Source organism: Homo sapiens, chromosome 1 (genome assembly GCF_000001405.40).
Source record: "Homo sapiens chromosome 1, GRCh38.p14 Primary Assembly".
NCBI classification, from domain to species: domain Eukaryota; kingdom Metazoa; phylum Chordata; class Mammalia; order Primates; family Hominidae; genus Homo; species Homo sapiens.
In genome coordinates this window covers 11,137,016-11,155,008 of record NC_000001.11, presented here as the reverse complement: position 1 = coordinate 11,155,008, position 17,993 = coordinate 11,137,016, and the positions used below count along the sequence as shown (strand labels likewise).

Sequence of the window (17,993 nt, the reverse complement as noted above, 5' to 3'; positions counted from 1 at the left end):
AGTGGGCTAATTTTTTTTATTTTTTGTAGAGACGGAGTCTCACAGTGCAGTCTAGGCTGGTTTTGAACTCCTGGGGTTCAAGCGATCCTCCCTCTTTGGCCTTCCAAAGTGCTAGGATTACAGGTGTGAGCCACTGTGCACAGCCTTCTTTTTTTTTTTTAAGAGGCAGGACTTTAATCTGTCTCTCAGTGGAGTACAGTGGTGTGATCACAGCTCACTGTGGTCTTGAACTCCTGGACTCAAGCAATCCTCCCACCTCAGCCTCCTGAGTAGAAGGAACTACAGAAATGCACCACCATGCCTGGCTAATTTTTTTAAATTATTTTTTGTAGGGATAGGGTCTCATTATGTTGCCAAGTTTGGCTGTTATTTCTTAATATAAAGTTATTACTACATCCCCAAGATAGAAGATGTTATAATGTTTTGCATGAAAATTTAATGTTAGTGAACTTAGCCTTAGGCATTGGATCATATATATATATATAGAGAGAGAGATAATATTCCACAATTATTTGAAAGTGGCTTGTCTGATTTAACCATCATTAGGAAGATTTTTATTTATTTTTATTTTTTTATTTATAGGAAGTGTTATTTATTTTTATAAATTAACATTAAAAGGCTGAGTGTGGTGGCTCACACCTGTAATCCCAAAACTTTGGGAGGCTGAGGCAGGCGGATTGCTTGAGCCCAGAAGTTTGACACTAGCCTGGGCAACAACAACAACAACAAAAATTCCATGTTCATTTACCTCAATAAATTTAGGAAGCATGTCTTTTAAAATCCGCTTTATTTATTTATATAACTAAAGCTGTTGTTGTTGTTGTTGTTGTTGTTGTTGTTTTTCTCAGTCCAACAAGTATCTAAAGCTGTATTGTCCAATATGGTAGCCTCTAGCCACATGTGGCTTTTTTTTTTTTTTTTTTTTTTTTTTTTTTTTTTTGAGACAGAGTCTCACTCTGTCACCCAGGCTGGAGTGCAGTGCTGTGATTTCGGCTCACTGCAACCTTCACCTCCCAGGGTCAAGTGATTTTCCTGCCCCAGCCTCCTGAGTAGCTGGGATTACAGGCATGCACCACCACTCCCGGCTGATTTTTGTATTTTTAATGGAGATGGGGTTTCGCCATGTTGGCCAGGCTGGTCTTGAACTCCCAACCTCAAGAAATCCACCTGCCTCAGCCTCTCAAAGGTCTAGGATTACGGGTGTGAGCCACTGCATCCGGCCTTATGGCTATTTTTAAATTAAATAAAATGTGAAATTCAGTTCCTCAGTCATACCACATTTTAGGTGTTCAGTAGCCACATGTGGCCAGTGGCTGCTGTATTGGACAGTGCACATAGAGAACTTTTCCATCATCACAGAAAGCTCTATTGGACAACACTGATCTAAGGCAAAAGAAAAGTATGTTAATAAGAATTATTCACATTATTTCAAAAACAATTTTTCTAGTTTCATATCAGCTGTCATACAATCATATCTTGTTATGAGAAAGATAAAACGAGATGGAAGTGTTCTTAAAATTCAACTCTAATCAATTCCTAAAATACTGCAATGTTTCACTGTTGCCATTGGATTTACATATAAATATCACAGCCTGGCATTCAAAGTCTTTCCTATTATGGCACCAGCCCGCTTCTTCAGCACATTTCTCTGTGAACCCTTCTCTCATAATCTGAGCTCTGGCCAAATTATTCACTCTTCTCCAAGTCCTACATTCATTCGTTCCATTCTTTGAATTGCCCTCTTCTTCTGCCTCTTTTTCTACTTTTGAAATCCTCTCCACTGTTTCTTCCCTCTTGAAACCTCTCCTGGCCCCTTCCCCTTCCACTCCTCTCCTTTCACATTAAAGATGACCACTTTTCCTAGCTGGGTTAGTAGGAGCAGATTGGATACATTGGAAGAGACTTGAGATGTGGTTTCCTCCAATTCCTTTGTGTTATAGTTGAAGAAACTGAGGCTCACAGAAGTTGAGAAAACCGAGCTGAGTGATATCGATCTCCTGATGTTGCCGTTCTCAGTCCCAAATACCTCTGACCTCTTGGGTTCTTTCCCGTTTTATAGTTACCCATAAAGCGTAAGTGGCTAGTAATGCTGACCAAAGGATTTAAGAATGTGGGAGACTAAAAGAGGTTTTAAAACGAGTCGAAAGAAGCAGAATATTTTTCCTGATCATATGCAGGTTTCTGATACGGTTTATTCAGTCAATTCTGTTTAGAGTGCAATTTCTAAATTTCTTTTGTGTGCGTATATCCTGAATATGCCTGAGGCAGATGTTCATCAGAGGTGACATGAAGAATGATCTGGAGTTAACAGTGAGCTGAGACCCTTCCCATTTCCCCATTCTTATCTGCCTCCAGGAGGCTGTGAGAGCTAGGCAACCCGCACCCCCTGCCCTGCCCAGCCCTATGGTGCAGGCAGCCACGCCTGCAGCCAAAGTGAACTAAAGTGAACCCCCTCCTCAAACTGTTCCCCACACAGCTAGGTATTGAGAACAGATTCCTCGGGAGTGAGATCATAGGCCCTCAACCCTAAGAGGAGCCATGGAGCCATTCCAAATGAAAGAATACTTCCTAAGCTTTTTATTTGTTTTAAATCTTCAGGGACCATGCTATCTTCTCTGTATCGTTCCAATTTTAGTATATGTGCTGCCAAAGCAAGCACTTTCTGCGTTTTTTGCCAGAACGCTAGGTGAGAAAATCAAAGTCTCAGAGGGTGCACCTTTTACCCAGTCCTCCCTATGTGTAGTGAAAGGTATCAGAAAAACATATCCTAGTTGTTGCCCCATAAACAATCTCATGTTTTTTATTTATTTGGTTTTGCCCCTCACCCAACCGCCCTTGAGAGGTAGGACTCGGTATATTCTGCATTATTTTTTGTAACAAATGTTTGTGGAAGAGCAATGCTCTTGTCTGTGTACTGACCAAGCTCTGACAGCTGTTCCCACACAGCTGCATGGTGAAGGCCGTGCGAAGTTCACTGCTAGGGCTTGCCCTTCTGAGTTGCTGTTCCTACATTGCTCCCTGCTTTGTCTCTTGGGGTAACAATTTGTGGGATTTCAGCACTGAACTTGCTTCCTGCTCTAGATGAAAAGAAAAACTACATCCTTGGTCCTGTGGCACAGAATCAGCTGATCCTGAAAAAATAATAGAGGGAGGCTGAGTTAGGAGGGACAGCTTGCATGAAGGATGCATTCATCCAAGTTGCTTGTGTTCACCAGCTGTAAATTTTGAACTATAGGGTTGGAAGGACCATTTGGAGATCATGCAGCTTTCTCTTCTACCTCTAGTCAGGATCCCTACAAAAATATGCTGTGCAGATGAGCTGTGCCTCTGCTTTAAGCCAGTGGTTCTCAAACTGTGACCCCTGGTCCAGCAGTTTTGGCGTCACATAGAAACTTGTTACAAATGCACATTCTCAGCCCCTATCCCAGCACTACTGAGTCAGAAACTCAGAGGGTGGAGCCCAGCCATCTGAAGGAGCCTTCCAGGGGATTCTGATGCACTTAGTAGTTTGAGAACTACTGCTCTAAGGGAACCCCTAGCAGGGCCCAGGAGTGAAGATTTCTAAGTCTCGGTGGCAGAAAACCAACACAGAGGTTTATCCTGTTCCCTTAATGGAGCTTCAGTAAATGCATAGGGCATCATGGCCACCAGTTCCTCTTTTTGGTCTCAGCTCTGTATTGAGCCAGAGTGCTTGTGTCCCTGGTTTTCTTGATCATGTGCCAGAGAGACAACAAAGTTAATATCTGCTGTACTGCGATGCTGGATAATGGCCCTGAGTACCTCTCCTAGACGTGGTCCACAGTCAGCTTCTTGGTGAGCTCAGCCTAGATTCCTTCTGCAGGGATTGACTTCAGCATCTTTATCCCCGCCCTCCTACACCACCTTAGAGCGCAGAGCAGCTCATGTTCCATGAGGCTTCTGACCTGGGCCACTTAGAACTTGTGCCCTTCCTCATGACTCCACCTCCAGTGCCAAGTTAAATCATCCTGCAGCATGTCTTTCAGAAAGCAGGAAAAATTAAGGAGTCTCCTAGCTGCATCTTGAAGCTCACATGAAATCAGGGACTCGGATTTGCATAATAGCCGAGTTTATTTTTTTTCACTGAGAAGCGAAACATGAGAGGGAGTTTCAACAGTCAATAGCAAGACCCTATTCTAGGGCTTCCATGTTCTCTTTTGTTTATTGGGGTGTCTTAAGCACCATTTATATCTCAATATCTCATAGTCCTCCTTCACATTCAGCAATTGTGCAAAATTCTGAGAATAAGCAGCATCTAGCCTTCTGGTAGATGTGACCATTGTGGAGCCTTTCTTCTGTACAGATTGATTTCATCTGGGTTTCATTTCAGACTGAAACCATTGGTATAATACTTTTAGGAGCCAGTTCTCCCTATAGCTTTGAGCCCAAAATGAATGTCCAGATGCGTCTCTTCAGATTGCTTTCTCTGTAGGCCTGCCAAAGGGAAAGAGCCCAGAATTCTTTGGCATAGGAGAGAAGTTATTTAATATTTATGAAGGGAGCCAGATGTTCAGGACATTTCATATCACAGAGTTAGGCATGGTTCCTATCCTTGATAAACTCACCCAGAAAAATTACGAGCACCGGGTCATAGAAACAACAAATAGCCCATTGATTCTCTATTATGTGACCTAGTAGAATGTGCTTTTTTATTAAAGGTGTCCAGTTCCTGTGTAGTCCTCACCTAACCCAAGGGGCAGGAGAGGAAGATTGGTAGTTTAAGGAGATTTGGATTAATCTGACTATATAATTCATTTTCTTCAGGGGTCAACTCCACCAGCAGTGCTGTGAAAAGTGGACCCTGGTTAATGATGAGACCCAAGCCAAGATGGCCCGGATGGCTGCTGCAGCTGCATGGGGTTTAGGTAAAGCTTCCCTCACAGGCACCCTGTGAAGGATGGGGTGAGTGAGGCTAGGGGCTCGCATCAGAAGAGTAAGGTGCTGGCTCTAGGTGGAGATCCAGGTCTATGGAAGGGTAAAAATGGTCTGTATCCACCTACTTCTACACCTTCCATCTGTCCTTTCTACCTGATGATTTTTATTAACTTGTTAGACATGGGGAAAATTGGATCTTCGTGGGGAGGCCAAGGAAAACGGTGCACAAAATCAAAATTGAGATTTAGTGGGTGAGAAATACACACTTAGCACACTCACACAGAGTACTGATGCCAGATGCTTTTCCCCATACACCAAGCCATTGTCAGCAGACACCAGTGGGGTGTCAAGTAGTTCATTTCTGACCCTATCTACTTGGAAATAGCATCAGATCCCACAGGTTAAGGGCTCGTCCCAAAATATCGCCCCACTTCAGATGCCAATCACAAGTTCCAGGTTGTGATTTGTGTTTCTCACTGACCAGCTGTAAATCAGGGTTCCCATAACCCTCCTCCTCAGGTTTGATAATTTGCCAGGACAGCGCACAGAACAAAAGGAGACACTTTACTTACATTTACTTGTTTATTATAAAGGGTATTATAAAAGATAGAGGTGAACAGGTACAATGAGGGAAGGTCTAGAAGGGTCTGGAGTGCAGAAGCTTCTGTCCTGTGGTACTGGGGTTTACCTTCACCCTCCCAGCACCTTCATCAACCTGGAAGCTCATTGTTCAAGAGTTTTTATTGCCTTTCATTTTCAACCTCTTCACCTTTCCTGGATGTCAGTGGACAGGGCTGAAAGTTCAAACCCGATAATTACTTGGTCTTTCTGGTAACCAGCCCCATCCTGGAAGGGGAGAAGGAGGGAGAGACAACATAAGGCAAAGTTTAAGTCACATGCTACTCAAAGAACCAATCTCTTTGGCAATAGGTTTGGATATTCTGTAAGGTTAGTGGGGTCATACACCTACACATTCAGCAGGGTACTAGGGTATGCATCTCTGTGTCTCCATTTACCTCTTCAGTTGAAAGCAGAAATAAGAGATGAGAAGGCTGGGTGTGGTGACTCACACCTGTAATCCCAGCACTCTGTGAGGCTTGGGCAGGAGGATCACTTGAGCCTGGGAGTTTGAAATCAGCCTGGGCAACATAGTGACACTCCGTCTCTACCAATTATATATATATATACACACACACACACACATAATTTTTTTTTTTTGACATGGAGTCTCGCTCTGTCACCCAGGCTGGAGTGCAGTGGCACGATCTCGGCTCACTGCAACCTCCGCCTCCCGGGTTCAAGCAATTCTCTGCCTCAGCCCTCCGAGTAGCTGGGATTCCAGGCACTGCCACCACGCCCGGCTAATTTTTCTATTTTTAGTAGAGACGGGGTTTCACCATGTTGGCCAGGCTGGTCTTGAACTCCTGATCTCGTGATCCATCCTCCTCGGCCTCCCAAAGTGCTGGAATTACAGGTGTGAGCCACAGCGCCTGGCCCTAATTTTTTTGTTTTAAAGAGAGATGAGGAGAAGTCTCTTTAGGTTCCTGCATCCAGCTATGCCTAAAGTCATAAAGTCATCTCTATAATTGGCCTTCTCAATAAATAAATTTTTTCTTAAACCATTCTACCTTATCAGCATAATCAATAGGGGCTCATTATGAATAATAAGGAACACTCCTATCACTCAGGAAATGCAGAGGGTTTTCGATAGCTCTATACCAGGCACTAGGGACAAAGACCAAACATATTTCTTCTTATACCACAGTAGGATTTGGCTTTGGTTGCCTAAAGCAAGTTACTGATTTATTTTCCTCTCTTATAAATGAAATCTAGAGGTAGGCGTTTCCAGACTAGTATTTTGGCTCTATTATCATTAGCCTTTTTCCAGATTTCTGCTTTGCATGCTCAGCCTGTGCCTCCATTTTAAAGTTCACCTCATGATCTAGCATGGTTGCTGGAGCTCCCCATGTCATGTTTTTATCCCAAGCAGGAGTAAAGGGAGAGGACAGTTGTCTATCTCCTTTTGTTAATATTTCTTAACTTATATTTTAGAAGTTTCCCAATATATATAACAGTGAAGATTATAGTATAATGAACCCCCATCTGCCCTTCACCTTTTCCAGCAATTACAAACATTTTCACCATTTATTGTCTCTATTCTCCTCTTTGCTGCCCAATTCTTACCCACCTCACTCCTACTCCCAGAGTTAAAGCAGAGATTTCTTTTCAATCCCTGCAGACATGTCAATTTCTGACACTGGGCCCCAGCTAAGAGGATTATCAATATGTGTTCCAGAGATGGTCTTGATAAGAAGGGAGAGGATATGTAGAGTGTCCCTGGTGAAAAGCTTCACCTGTGGAGCCCAGAGGAAAGTTACATAACCCTCTACCTCCATTCTCTTCTTCTGTCCCTCTTGAGTCACAGAGCTTATACCTTTTCCTTTCATGAGCTCTGGGCTAGATCCGGAACATTTTTCAAAAACAAATTGCTTCCTGAGGAGTCATTGTTAGCTATTTGCTTGTGCCCAGAGGCATAGAGAATGGATGAGCCGATGGTCTGGAGTGAGAGGCAGGAAAATGCCTTGTAAAATTGGCAGCCCTGTAGTTTGCAGCTAATGAAGCTGATATCTTTTCTGCAGATGGTCTTGGAAATCCTGGCATTTGATACATACTCACCCCACCAGGAGAAGTGAATACCTCTTCCCGGATGCAGCTATTTCCCCTGTCTAATATGACACAGAGAGCACTGTGCTGTGACCTAGCCCATCTTTTTGTTATAATGGAGTCGCTTAAAATATTTATCTCCTCCCTCCTGAGGCAAAGATATTGCCAGAATGAAATGGGCAAGCTATTTGTCTAATCCTGTCCCCTATCATCTGTGTAATGGCTATTTTCAATTGTTTGGAGGAAAATGTAATTTCCCAACATACCATTGAACTGTGAGCTGTCTCAGTAGTAAGGAAGAAAGCAATTTTGTTGCACCTGGAGAAACCTGAGAGAGTTCTCTAGGATAATGAGGTGCTGCATTCAGCCCACTTGATGTGCAGACTTCACACTCATGCACTTCCCCTCATCTGTCAAGATGCTCCCTGGGCAGCCATGGAGTCCTGTGTTTGGAAGACAGATGTGGCTTTTTTTGTTACGTCAACCTGCATAGTGTGTATAGGGGCTCTGCAGGATTTTGGTACATGAGGCTCAAGTTTATTTGTCTTGTTTATATCCCAAGCTAAAGGAAAATAACAGTGGCAAGACCTATTTGAGATGCTGCCTTTAGCCCAACCAGCCAACCCCCTTGATGCTTTCTGTCTATGTGTGTGTGTATAGGTCAGTGGGACAGCATGGAAGAATACACCTGTATGATCCCTCGGGACACCCATGATGGGGCATTTTATAGAGCTGTGCTGGCACTGCATCAGGACCTCTTCTCCTTGGCACAACAGGTAAAAACCTACATGCACCCAGATCTCTCAGTGAGGAAAAGATTGTAGTGCTTCTAAGCCCACGGTGCTTTGGTAAAGAAGCTGTTGTACTTCAGGTCTGATGTTTACTCGGCTCTGTGAGTACATTTGAATGGTTTTGATTCATTGTACTCAGAAGACTGCCAGCAGGTCAGCTGGGGCTACTTATTGTTCTGAGGGGGACAAATGTGTTCTGGAAGCTACTGTCTCGGTTGCTTTTGGAGTTAGCTTGTTGGGTCATCATTGTATCCCTTGTTGTAGAGAGAAGCTGTATTTCACCAAAAGGTAGGATTCAGAGAGCCAGCAGTCTCACTGTGCAGCAGAAATCAGTCACAAGGGTCTTCTGGCCATGCAGGCATGTCACACATTGATTACCTTCCGAGGAAGCTAGTACTTACTTGCAAATAGTATGCTGACTTGCAGAATGAAATAATGAAGTAATCCCATCCACCCTGTCAGACACGAGACTTAGATGAGGTGCCCGGGTAAATGATCTGAGCACTTAAGGCATTGGGACACTATAATTAACCTTAAACATTCAAAAACGGGAAAAGCTCTGCATGAGGGGTTTTTAATTGATGGCACAGAGGAAACTCAAACTGCAGTGCTGTGGCGTCCCCCAGGCTGTCATTTGTGTGATGAGAACCAAGATCTTGGTTGTCTCTGTCAGAGACACAAGAGTTCCCGTTCATGTGGACAGGATTGGGCATCTCTGCCAATTTTAGAGACACTCCCTCATAAGGACAGAGGGTGCTTGGAAGCCAGAGCTACCACCTGGAGCCATTGAAGTGTGTGCAGAATCTATTTTCATAAACATGCCCAGCAAGAAAAAGTTAAAAGAGGGTAGATCCCCAGGCTGGGCACAGTGGCTCACACCTGTAATCGCAGCACTTTGGGAGGCCGAGGCAGACGGATCACTTGAGACCAGGAGTTCAAGACCAGCCTGCCCAACATGGTGAAACCCTATCTCTACTAAAAATACAAAAATTAGCTGGGCGTGGTGGCGGGCGCCTGTAACCCCAGCATCCCAGCTACTTGGGAGGCTGAGGCAAGAGAATCGCTTGAACCAACATGGAGAAACCCTATCTCTACTAAAAATACAAAAATTAGCTGGGCGTGGTGGCGGGCGCCTGTAACCCCAGCATCCCAGCTACTTGGGAGGCTGAGGCAAGAGAATCACTTGAACCCGGGAGGTGGAGACTGCAGTGAGCCAAGATCACACCACTGCACTCCAGCCTGGGTGACAGAGTGAGACTGTGTCTCAGAAGAAAAAAAAAAGGTAGATCCCCAGTTATGTCCTCTTGAGATGCAAGAACCCATGATTCGGTTTTACAGCCCACATTCCCATGCCCTTGCCACCTAAGATTTTGTGTGTTACCTTAGATAGATGTTAAAGTTTTGGATGCCATACATTTCTGTCTTCGATGAGAAATTGGATAATACCTCCTCTCAAGCCATTCAGTTCTGGGAAAATGCCCTTCTTCAGCGAATTTCTCTTTTCATCCCTGGAATTTAAGTGAGACAGATAACTTCTGTAGCTAGTTGGGGTGCCCTAAAATAACCCTAAGCTCCCAAGTCCAGAGCTCAGTCCCAAGGGTTGTTTCTCTTCTAGTGCATTGACAAGGCCAGGGACCTGCTGGATGCTGAATTAACTGCGATGGCAGGAGAGAGTTACAGTCGGGCATATGGGGTAAGTGTCAACTATTCTGCACATTGTCATTTTTGAGGCTTATTTCCATACTTTTTTCAGAATGGGCTATTGAGAACTTACAGGCTGCTGGAAACATGCCTGTTTTCTCTGATCGGCAGATACCCTGACACCAGAAGGAATGATTTAAATTAATCCTGTCTTTTGGATTGTTCGTGCAGTAATTAGTTTGGAATGCGATTTGCTTCCATCAGGCCATGGTTTCTTGCCACATGCTGTCCGAGCTGGAGGAGGTTATCCAGTACAAACTTGTCCCCGAGCGACGAGAGATCATCCGCCAGATCTGGTGGGAGAGACTGCAGGTGAGCTTGGTAGAAAGCCCCAGTTCACCCACCTACCCCTACCCCTTCCAGGACCTGGGTGAGTGCCCCCCTCCACCCTGGCTCTTACTCAACTTGCTTTTCCTGCCTCCTCCACCAGTGTATTGCTTGGCTTGCATACAAAGCAGAATACTCAAAGGCTCCTCACCTAAACTTAAGCTGTGAGAGAATGACCAATTTTCCAGTCTCTTCTTATTCTCTTCTCTAGGAATTAAAAAAAATGTTTTTTAGTAAGTGACACCTGTGACCAGTCAGTTAGGAATCATAACCTCAAAATCAGTGGTTCTCAACCTTAGCAGCACAGTAGAATCACCTGCAGAGCTTTTTAAAATCCTGATGCCCAGGCTATTCCCCAGGCCAATTAAATTTCTGGGGAGAGACTCAGGATCAGTATCTTTTCAGGTTCCCCCAGATGATTCCACCAGCCAAAGCTAAGAACCACTGCTCTAACTACACTTGGAGGCCACCTGCACCAGCTTTTCAGATGGGGTTGCCTTAGGTTCTCATTGGCCAACTCCTGCTATTTATAGCTACTTAGGTCAGAGTCATCCTGTCGCCTCTATTGAGACTTTTTTTCCACTGCAGTTTCCGCTTGTAGAGAAGAAGCTTTCCCAAGTCCTCCATCAGTGTTTTCATTCTCACATTCTGATCATTTTAACATGAGAAACTGTCACTCCAGGTCTGGGAGTCAGGAGTCTAAATGTTCTGGGAAGGATGGCCAGTTATCCCATTCCTTGAGTGGGTAGGATAGGAAGTTCATCAGCAAAAGAAAAAAGAGAGAAAGCCTTTACCACTCCAGAAACCATTTGTCTCCCTACCTATCATAATCCATCCCCGCAATTATAAACCATTTCCTCTCAACTAGATCCCCACCTAATTGCTAATTCCAAATTCTCGCTTCAGACCAATCGAAGTTTGTGCTTCCAGGCGTCTCAGTAGGCTGCGACAAAACCTTTTGACTCCAAACACATTCCTGCCTAGGAAGCTCAGGGCACATTCCCCTGGACAGGAAAGAGCAATGGGCAAAGGAACATCTATGAATACAGTCATTTATGGCTCTGAAATGAGCACATACAGTTCTTTTACATGTTTTATTAGTAATTATGAAATGCCCAGTGAATGTTTTGATGGAAAATTGTCTCCTGGGCACCAGAAAGAATTCCACAAATAAGCATTTCCCACTTGATTTGTACACACCCCAATTCTTTGAAATGCCTATAATAAAGAGTTTCTACAGCAGAGATCTGATGAACCTTCTGACAGTCTGACAAGTGGGACTTGATCCAAATGTAGACTTAGAGGAGAGGGGAGGCATGGAATGAGTCCTGGGAAGAGAGATGCCTGTCTGACTTTACTGGGTCCAGGACACTGCCACCACCTTAAGCCTTCGTGACTTTCCTATCTTGAGGCAGCAAGATGCTTTTTGGCTTACAGGAGGCCAAATTATTTCAGCATCTGGGAGAACCTAACTATTGGTGAGAAGTCACAAAAAACAATCACTCAGTGTACTTTTTTCTGTTATTTTAACTTTCGAAATCATTGTTGTCACACTTCATGGGATGGAAAAATGTGGTCCAAGGCCTGAAAGTAAAGCATTACATTTATAGTGGAAATTTGGCTCTTGTGGATGGCTTGCTGTCAAATGAACTGCTGGGGCTAGAAAACTGCCATTTTGTGGTCAAATCATTTAAATTAAAATCCCCAACCAGTATTATAGTAGTGGAAAAATACATGTTTGTTACTTTTCTTTGGAGTTGCACCAATGCTTTTGGTTCCTAAGACCCTCCCATAGGGCAGTTAGAGAGGTCAGCCTTACTGGCGCTGGGTCTCTTCTAGCCTTGGGTTCTCCAGTCAGGCTCAGACTGCATCTTATCATAGCTAAAAGCCTGAGATCATTGTCGCTAGACTTTTAAGTTTATCTCCATGGAGGACAGCTCCATGGGTTCATGGAATTTACCATGAAGCAGTAGATCTCAGGAACTCCCCTTCTGAGTCTGACTTCTTATCAACAAGGATGAAAAAGGAGTTCACTTGGCCAGGCATGGTGGCTCACACCTGTAATCCCAGCACTTTGGGAGGCTGAGGCAGGTGGATTGCTTGAGGTCAGGAGTTTGAGACTTAGCCTGGCCAACATAGAGAAACCCCCTCTCTGCTAAAAGAAAAAAATACAAAAATTAGCCAGGCGTGGTGGCGCACACCTGTAATCCCAGCTCCTTGGGAGGCTGAGGCAGGAGAATCGCTTGGACCTGGGAGGCAGAGGTTGCAGTGAGCCAAGATTGCGCCACTGCACTCCAGCCTGAGGGACAGAATGATACTCCATCTCCAAAAAAAAAGGAGTTCTGCCTGCTTCTGCTCCCAAAGTTCTGGGATTACAGGCATGAGCCACCATGCCTGGCCTTCTGATACATTTTAACTTCCCTGCAAGCCACAGCCAAATCCACTGTGAAACACAACGGAGATTTGCTGATAGAATCTCAGGTTAAGGGTACTGTGAGTGAAATACCCTTAGGCAGCCGTCCCCAACCTGACTCTCTATAGTTGTTAGATGTAAAATTAGCTTAAGCCCCTTTGATAATTAATTCACTTTTTTATTATTTTATTTTATTTATTTATTTATTTATTTATTTTTGAGACGGAGTCTCGCTGAGTCCCCCAGTCTGGAGTGCAGTGGCACGATCTCGGCTTACTGCAAGCTCCGCCTCCCAAGTTCACGCCATTCTTCTGCCTCAGCCTCCTGAGTAGCTGGGACTACAGGCGCCCACCACCACGCCTGGCTAATTTTTTTTTTATTATTTTTTTTATTTTTTAGTAGAGACGGGGTTTCACCGTATTAGCCAGGATGATCTCGATCTCCTGACCTTGTGATCCCCCCACCTCAGCCTCCCAAAGTGCTGGGATTACAGGCATGAGCCACCGTGCCCCGCCTTTTTTCTTTTTTTTTTTTAATTATAAAGAATTTGTGGCCAGGCACAGTGGCTCATGCCTGTAATCCCAGCCCTTTAGGAGGCCGAGGTGGGTGGATTGCTTGAGGTCAGGAGTTCAAGACCAGGCTGGCCAACATAGCAAAACCCCGTATCTACTAAAAATACAAAAATTAGCCAGGCATGGTGGCACACACCTGTAGTTCCAGCTACTCAGGAGGCTGAGGCAGAAGAATCGCTTGAACCTTGGAGGCAGAGGTTGCAGTGAGCCGAGACCGAGCCACTGCACTCCAGCCTGGGAGACAAGAACGATCCCACCTGTAATCCCAGCACATTGGGAGGCTGAGGCAGGCAGATAGCTTAAGCCCAGGAGTTTGAGACCGGCCTTGGCAATGTGGCAAAACCCCATCTCTTCAAAAAATACAAAAATTAGCCAGATGTGATGTGCGCCCATAGTCCCAGCTACTCAGGAGGTTGAGGCGGGAGGATCGCTTGAACCTGGGAGGTTGAGGCTGCAGTGAGCCATGATTGCACCACTTTACTCCAGCCTGGGTGACAGAGTGAGACCCTATCAAAAAAAAAGAAAGAAGAATTTCTAAGTGTAACTAAATGAAGCATTTCCCCTTCTGTGTATACTTTTTGATCTGAGACTAGTAGAAATGAAGAAGAAAGAATCTAAGATGCCAACATACATGGCATCTCAACAGTCTTTTTTTTTTTTTTTTCAGAAGTCTTAATGGAGGTTTAGGCTTTAATAACTTCAGAAATATAAATGCTACCAACTTAAAAACAATGTCACTTCAAAAATTTTTAAACTTCTTTACATTTAATTCATTTTTCAACTTTGAATGATACATTTTAAATTTAATATCTTTATCAGTGATAGTCATCTTCAACCAGAAAGACTGAAACAAAATTTTAAAGTTGAAGATGTATTATGTGTTATTCACCATTCACAAAATAAATTGAAATCAATCATTTAATTTATTTAATCCTCACCGTATCCCTATGAAACTGGTACTATTTTTATTCCACCCTACAGATCTGTCAGAGGTTAAGTGATTTGCCCAAAGTCACATAGGGTAGCAAGTGACAGAGGCAGGATTCAAGCTCCAAACCCATGCTATACCATCTCTCAAACTGCTGAGACGCCCCTAAGGGCAGGGGTCCCCAGACCCGGGGCCGGGGACCGGTGAGTAGCCTGTTAGGAACCGGGAGGCACAGCAGGAGGTGAGGGATGGGCAAGCTCCACCTCCTGTCAGATCGGCAGCCACATTGGATTCTCACAGGAGCATGAACCGTATTATGAACTGCGCATGCAAGGGATCCAGGTTGCATGCTCCTTATGAGAATCTAATGCCTGATGATCATCTGAAAACCATCCCCCCGCCCCCCACCCAATCTGTGGAATAATTGTCTTCCACAAAACTAGTCCCTGGTGCCAAAAAGGTTGGGGACTGCTGCCTAAGGGTATTTCACTCACAGTACCCTTAACCTGAGAAAGCTGAGATTCTATCAGCAAATCTCTGTTGTGTTTCACAGTGGAATTGGCTGTGGCTTGCAGGGAAGTTAAAATGTATCAGAAGGCCAGGCATGGTGGCTCGTGCCTGTAATCCCAGAACTTTGGGAGCCGAAGCAGGCAGATCAGTTAAGGTCAGGAGTTCGAGAGCAGCCTTGCCATCATGGTGAAACACCATCTCTATTAAAAATACAAGAAAAGGCCGGGCGTGCTGGCTCACGCCTGTAATCCCAGCACTTTGGGAGGCCAAGACGGTTGGATCACGAGGTCAGGAATTCAAGACCAGCCTGGCCAAGATGCTGAAACCCCGTCTCTACTAAAAATACAAAACTTAGCCAGGCATGATGGCACACGCCTGTAATCCCCGCTACTCGGGAGGCTGAGGCAGGAGAATTGCTTGAACCCGGGAGGCAGAGGTTGCAGTGAGCCAAGATTGCACCACTGCACTCCAGCCTGGGCGACAGAGCAAGACTCTGCCACAAAAACAATGTATCAGAAGACATATCTAATCTTCACTTCTGAATGTTCCAGGGCTGCCAGCGTATCGTAGAGGACTGGCAGAAAATCCTTATGGTGCGGTCCCTTGTGGTCAGCCCTCATGAAGACATGAGAACCTGGCTCAAGTATGCAAGCCTGTGCGGCAAGAGTGGCAGGCTGGTGAGTGACAACCACCCACCCACATGGGCAGGTAGGGCCCCATGGTGTCCCTGGGCTGTCCAGTTCTGTCTATAACCCAGTTTCTCTTATTTTTAAGGCTCTTGCTCATAAAACTTTAGTGTTGCTCCTGGGAGTTGATCCGTCTCGGCAACTTGACCATCCTCTGCCAACAGTTCACCCTCAGGTGACCTATGCCTACATGAAAAACATGTGGAAGAGTGCCCGCAAGGTCTGTATCCCAATGCATCCAGAACAGACCACCTTCTCCAGAATGCTCGCCTAATCTGCTTCGCTCTGCCTCTTTAAGGCCAGAAAAGAAACAGTGTTTAAACCACCTACTCACAATGTCAGGGAGTCTCTTCCTGTTACAAAGCTATTTGGCCTGATTTCATAGAGTGAATCATAGTTGAGGAGATGGTGTGTATACCATTGATCAAACCAATGAATGTGATCACAGTTATATGTATTTGTATCTAGAAAGTGCTGGGACATAGAAAGGGCACACTTTCTACCCCTAAGAGAAGATGGACTGTTTGGTACAAAAAAGAGCAGATTTGTAAATACACAGACTAGAACTTTCACAAGACCAATTTGGGTTTTTCAGACCTCTGTCTCCTCTCCTGACATCAGTTTGGATTCAAAAGGAATAACATGCAGGGTATAATGCTGAAACCAGGAGGGAAAGTTATCTTGAAGCCAATGTAGAATTCTTCTGACTTTATGTACAGACAAGCCCTTGGGAAATAGATGTGGCTCCTGGTTTGGGGGTTTTTTTCTTTAAACAATCTGCCTGGATGATGCTGAGGACTAATAAACAGTAGGCCCTGGAGGCAAAGTCATCACCTGCTTTGGCTTCCCCTTCCTCCTTCTTAAAAGGAAGAGGGAGTCTCACTAGCCTTCTCTCCCCATTGTGACCCCCACAGTGAAGTACCTGAGATGAGAGAGGAATAAAACCCAGCCACTGGAGCCTCTGCTGTGGGAAGATCTCATAAAATAGAAGTTGTGTTTCTGCAGAAGGCACACTTAGGAGATCTGGGGACTGGGTCTAGAAATTGACTAATTTTATACATGACTGAATCAGAGTGGCTGTGAATACCACCCAGAGTGGGATCAGCCAGCCTGTACCCAGGCACCTGGTCTTTGGGATTTACTGCAGTACCAATGACCTAAGTTTCCTTCTTCAAATATGCAGCTTGGAGATTTTATTTGTTTTTTTGTTGTTTTGTTTTATTTTTCAGTCTCTGTGAGCCTCCCAGGCCAGAGCATTTCTGATTCAAAGCCTGACCTCCTCCAGGCAAATGAGAAAAACAGAAGGTGCTGGATCTGAGTATAGTCTGGTTTCCCTCCTATGTATAGCCTCCAAGTCTTTGACTGTCTTGCCTAAGGCAGGCCGAAGAAGTCTTTTGGGTAATATCTCAAGCAAGGAGTGGCTTCTTTCAACATAAGACCCCAGCCCAACTTCTCCATGGAATAGTCTTTCTTAGTAGCCCAAATTCTGTGGAATTAAAAATCAGGAACCTATTTAAAGTGCTGGGACTTCAAGCCCAGAACTAGAGATGTCATATCTTCATAGTTAAGGAGCTACCCAAGGAAAACTGACTACTTAATAATTGTGCTACTGAGCAAGACACTCACTGAGCCTTACTTTCCTCCACTGTAAACAAGAATCATGCTCTGCCTCGCCTGAGGCAAAGGAAAGTATTTGTGGGAAAAGCAGACCCTGTTATCCTGGAAGGCATCAGGCTATGGGTATATGTATCATGTTTTCCTAGACAAGACACTTCACAGAGTCCAGAGACAGGCTGGTCCTTCTGTAAAATTTCACTGAGCCAAGGCCATTGTTCTTGCCCACAAACCCACCCATGCAATCTAGAACCAGAATATTGTGCCTAGCTAAAATCCTGTGGGTCTATGAGAAGCCCCTTCTTCCAAGTGACAGGTCCTTCATTTATAAGAGGGAAAGAATCACTTTTCCCTTTTTTCATTTCCTGGGGATGGAGAAAACAAATTTTAAATAGAAAATTTCCAATTCCTTGAAAATAAGTTGCCTTGTACTATACAGTAGAAAGATACTGGATTCTCTTATGCTGGATAAACGAAATATTGGGCTTCAAATCCAAACTTAATACCCAGCCTCCCCAGCTTTGGCAGTTTATATTTTGTTCAGCTCCTTATTAAGTCCACCAAAGAGTTTAAACCCAGTGTCTGGATTGTTGATGACAGGTAGCTTATGGGCTCTGAAAAGCACCTACCATCAGAGTTCCTAGTTTAGCTCCTACCTGCGTGACGTATGCAATGATCACACTGAGTTATCACCTTTTTGGCGATTGAGTTTTTTTACTACCGCCTCCCAATTCTTTTTTTTTTTTTTTTTTTTTTTAATCAGATTTAAGCCAGGTGTGGTGGCTCACGCCTATGATCCCAGCACTTTGGGAGGCTGAGGCAGGCGAATCACTTGAGGTCAGGAGTTTGAGACCAGCCTGGACAACATGGTGAAGCACCGTCTCTACTAAAAAT

At 44.5% G+C, this 17,993-nt stretch overlaps 1 protein-coding gene, 1 long non-coding RNA gene and 1 pseudogene across 9 annotated transcripts in view; 1 reads left to right on the top strand and 2 right to left on the bottom strand.

Moving 5' to 3' along the window:
• MTOR (mechanistic target of rapamycin kinase) overlaps nucleotides 1-17,993 on the top strand; it is a 156,017-nt gene that overhangs the window by 107,543 nt on the left and 30,481 nt on the right. For 7 of the 8 annotated variants that reach the window (XR_007058581.1, NM_001386501.1, NM_004958.4 and 4 more), the window contains 6 exons: nucleotides 4,783-4,883; nucleotides 8,218-8,333; nucleotides 9,964-10,041; nucleotides 10,254-10,361; nucleotides 15,351-15,476; nucleotides 15,574-15,705. Coding sequence is in view for 7 of the 8 variants with exons in the window: in NM_001386501.1 (NP_001373430.1) it covers nucleotides 4,783-4,883; nucleotides 8,218-8,333; nucleotides 9,964-10,041; nucleotides 10,254-10,361; nucleotides 15,351-15,476; nucleotides 15,574-15,705 (661 nt within the window). In the remaining variant the exon portion in view is untranslated. Of the gene's footprint in view, nucleotides 1-4,782; nucleotides 4,884-8,217; nucleotides 8,334-9,963; nucleotides 10,042-10,160; nucleotides 10,187-10,253; nucleotides 10,362-15,350; nucleotides 15,477-15,573; nucleotides 15,706-17,993 lie in introns of those variants that run through there. The other variant, XM_011541166.3, reaches the window with a different exon arrangement.
• Nucleotides 2,596-2,659, bottom strand: RNU6-537P (RNA, U6 small nuclear 537, pseudogene; annotated as a pseudogene).
• Nucleotides 5,471-11,111, bottom strand: MTOR-AS1 (MTOR antisense RNA 1). Its single transcript, NR_046600.1, has 4 exons — nucleotides 11,022-11,111; nucleotides 10,123-10,342; nucleotides 9,730-9,856; nucleotides 5,471-5,739 (listed from the first exon to the last, which is right to left on the bottom strand). It is a non-coding gene; the product is annotated as an MTOR antisense RNA 1 (long non-coding RNA).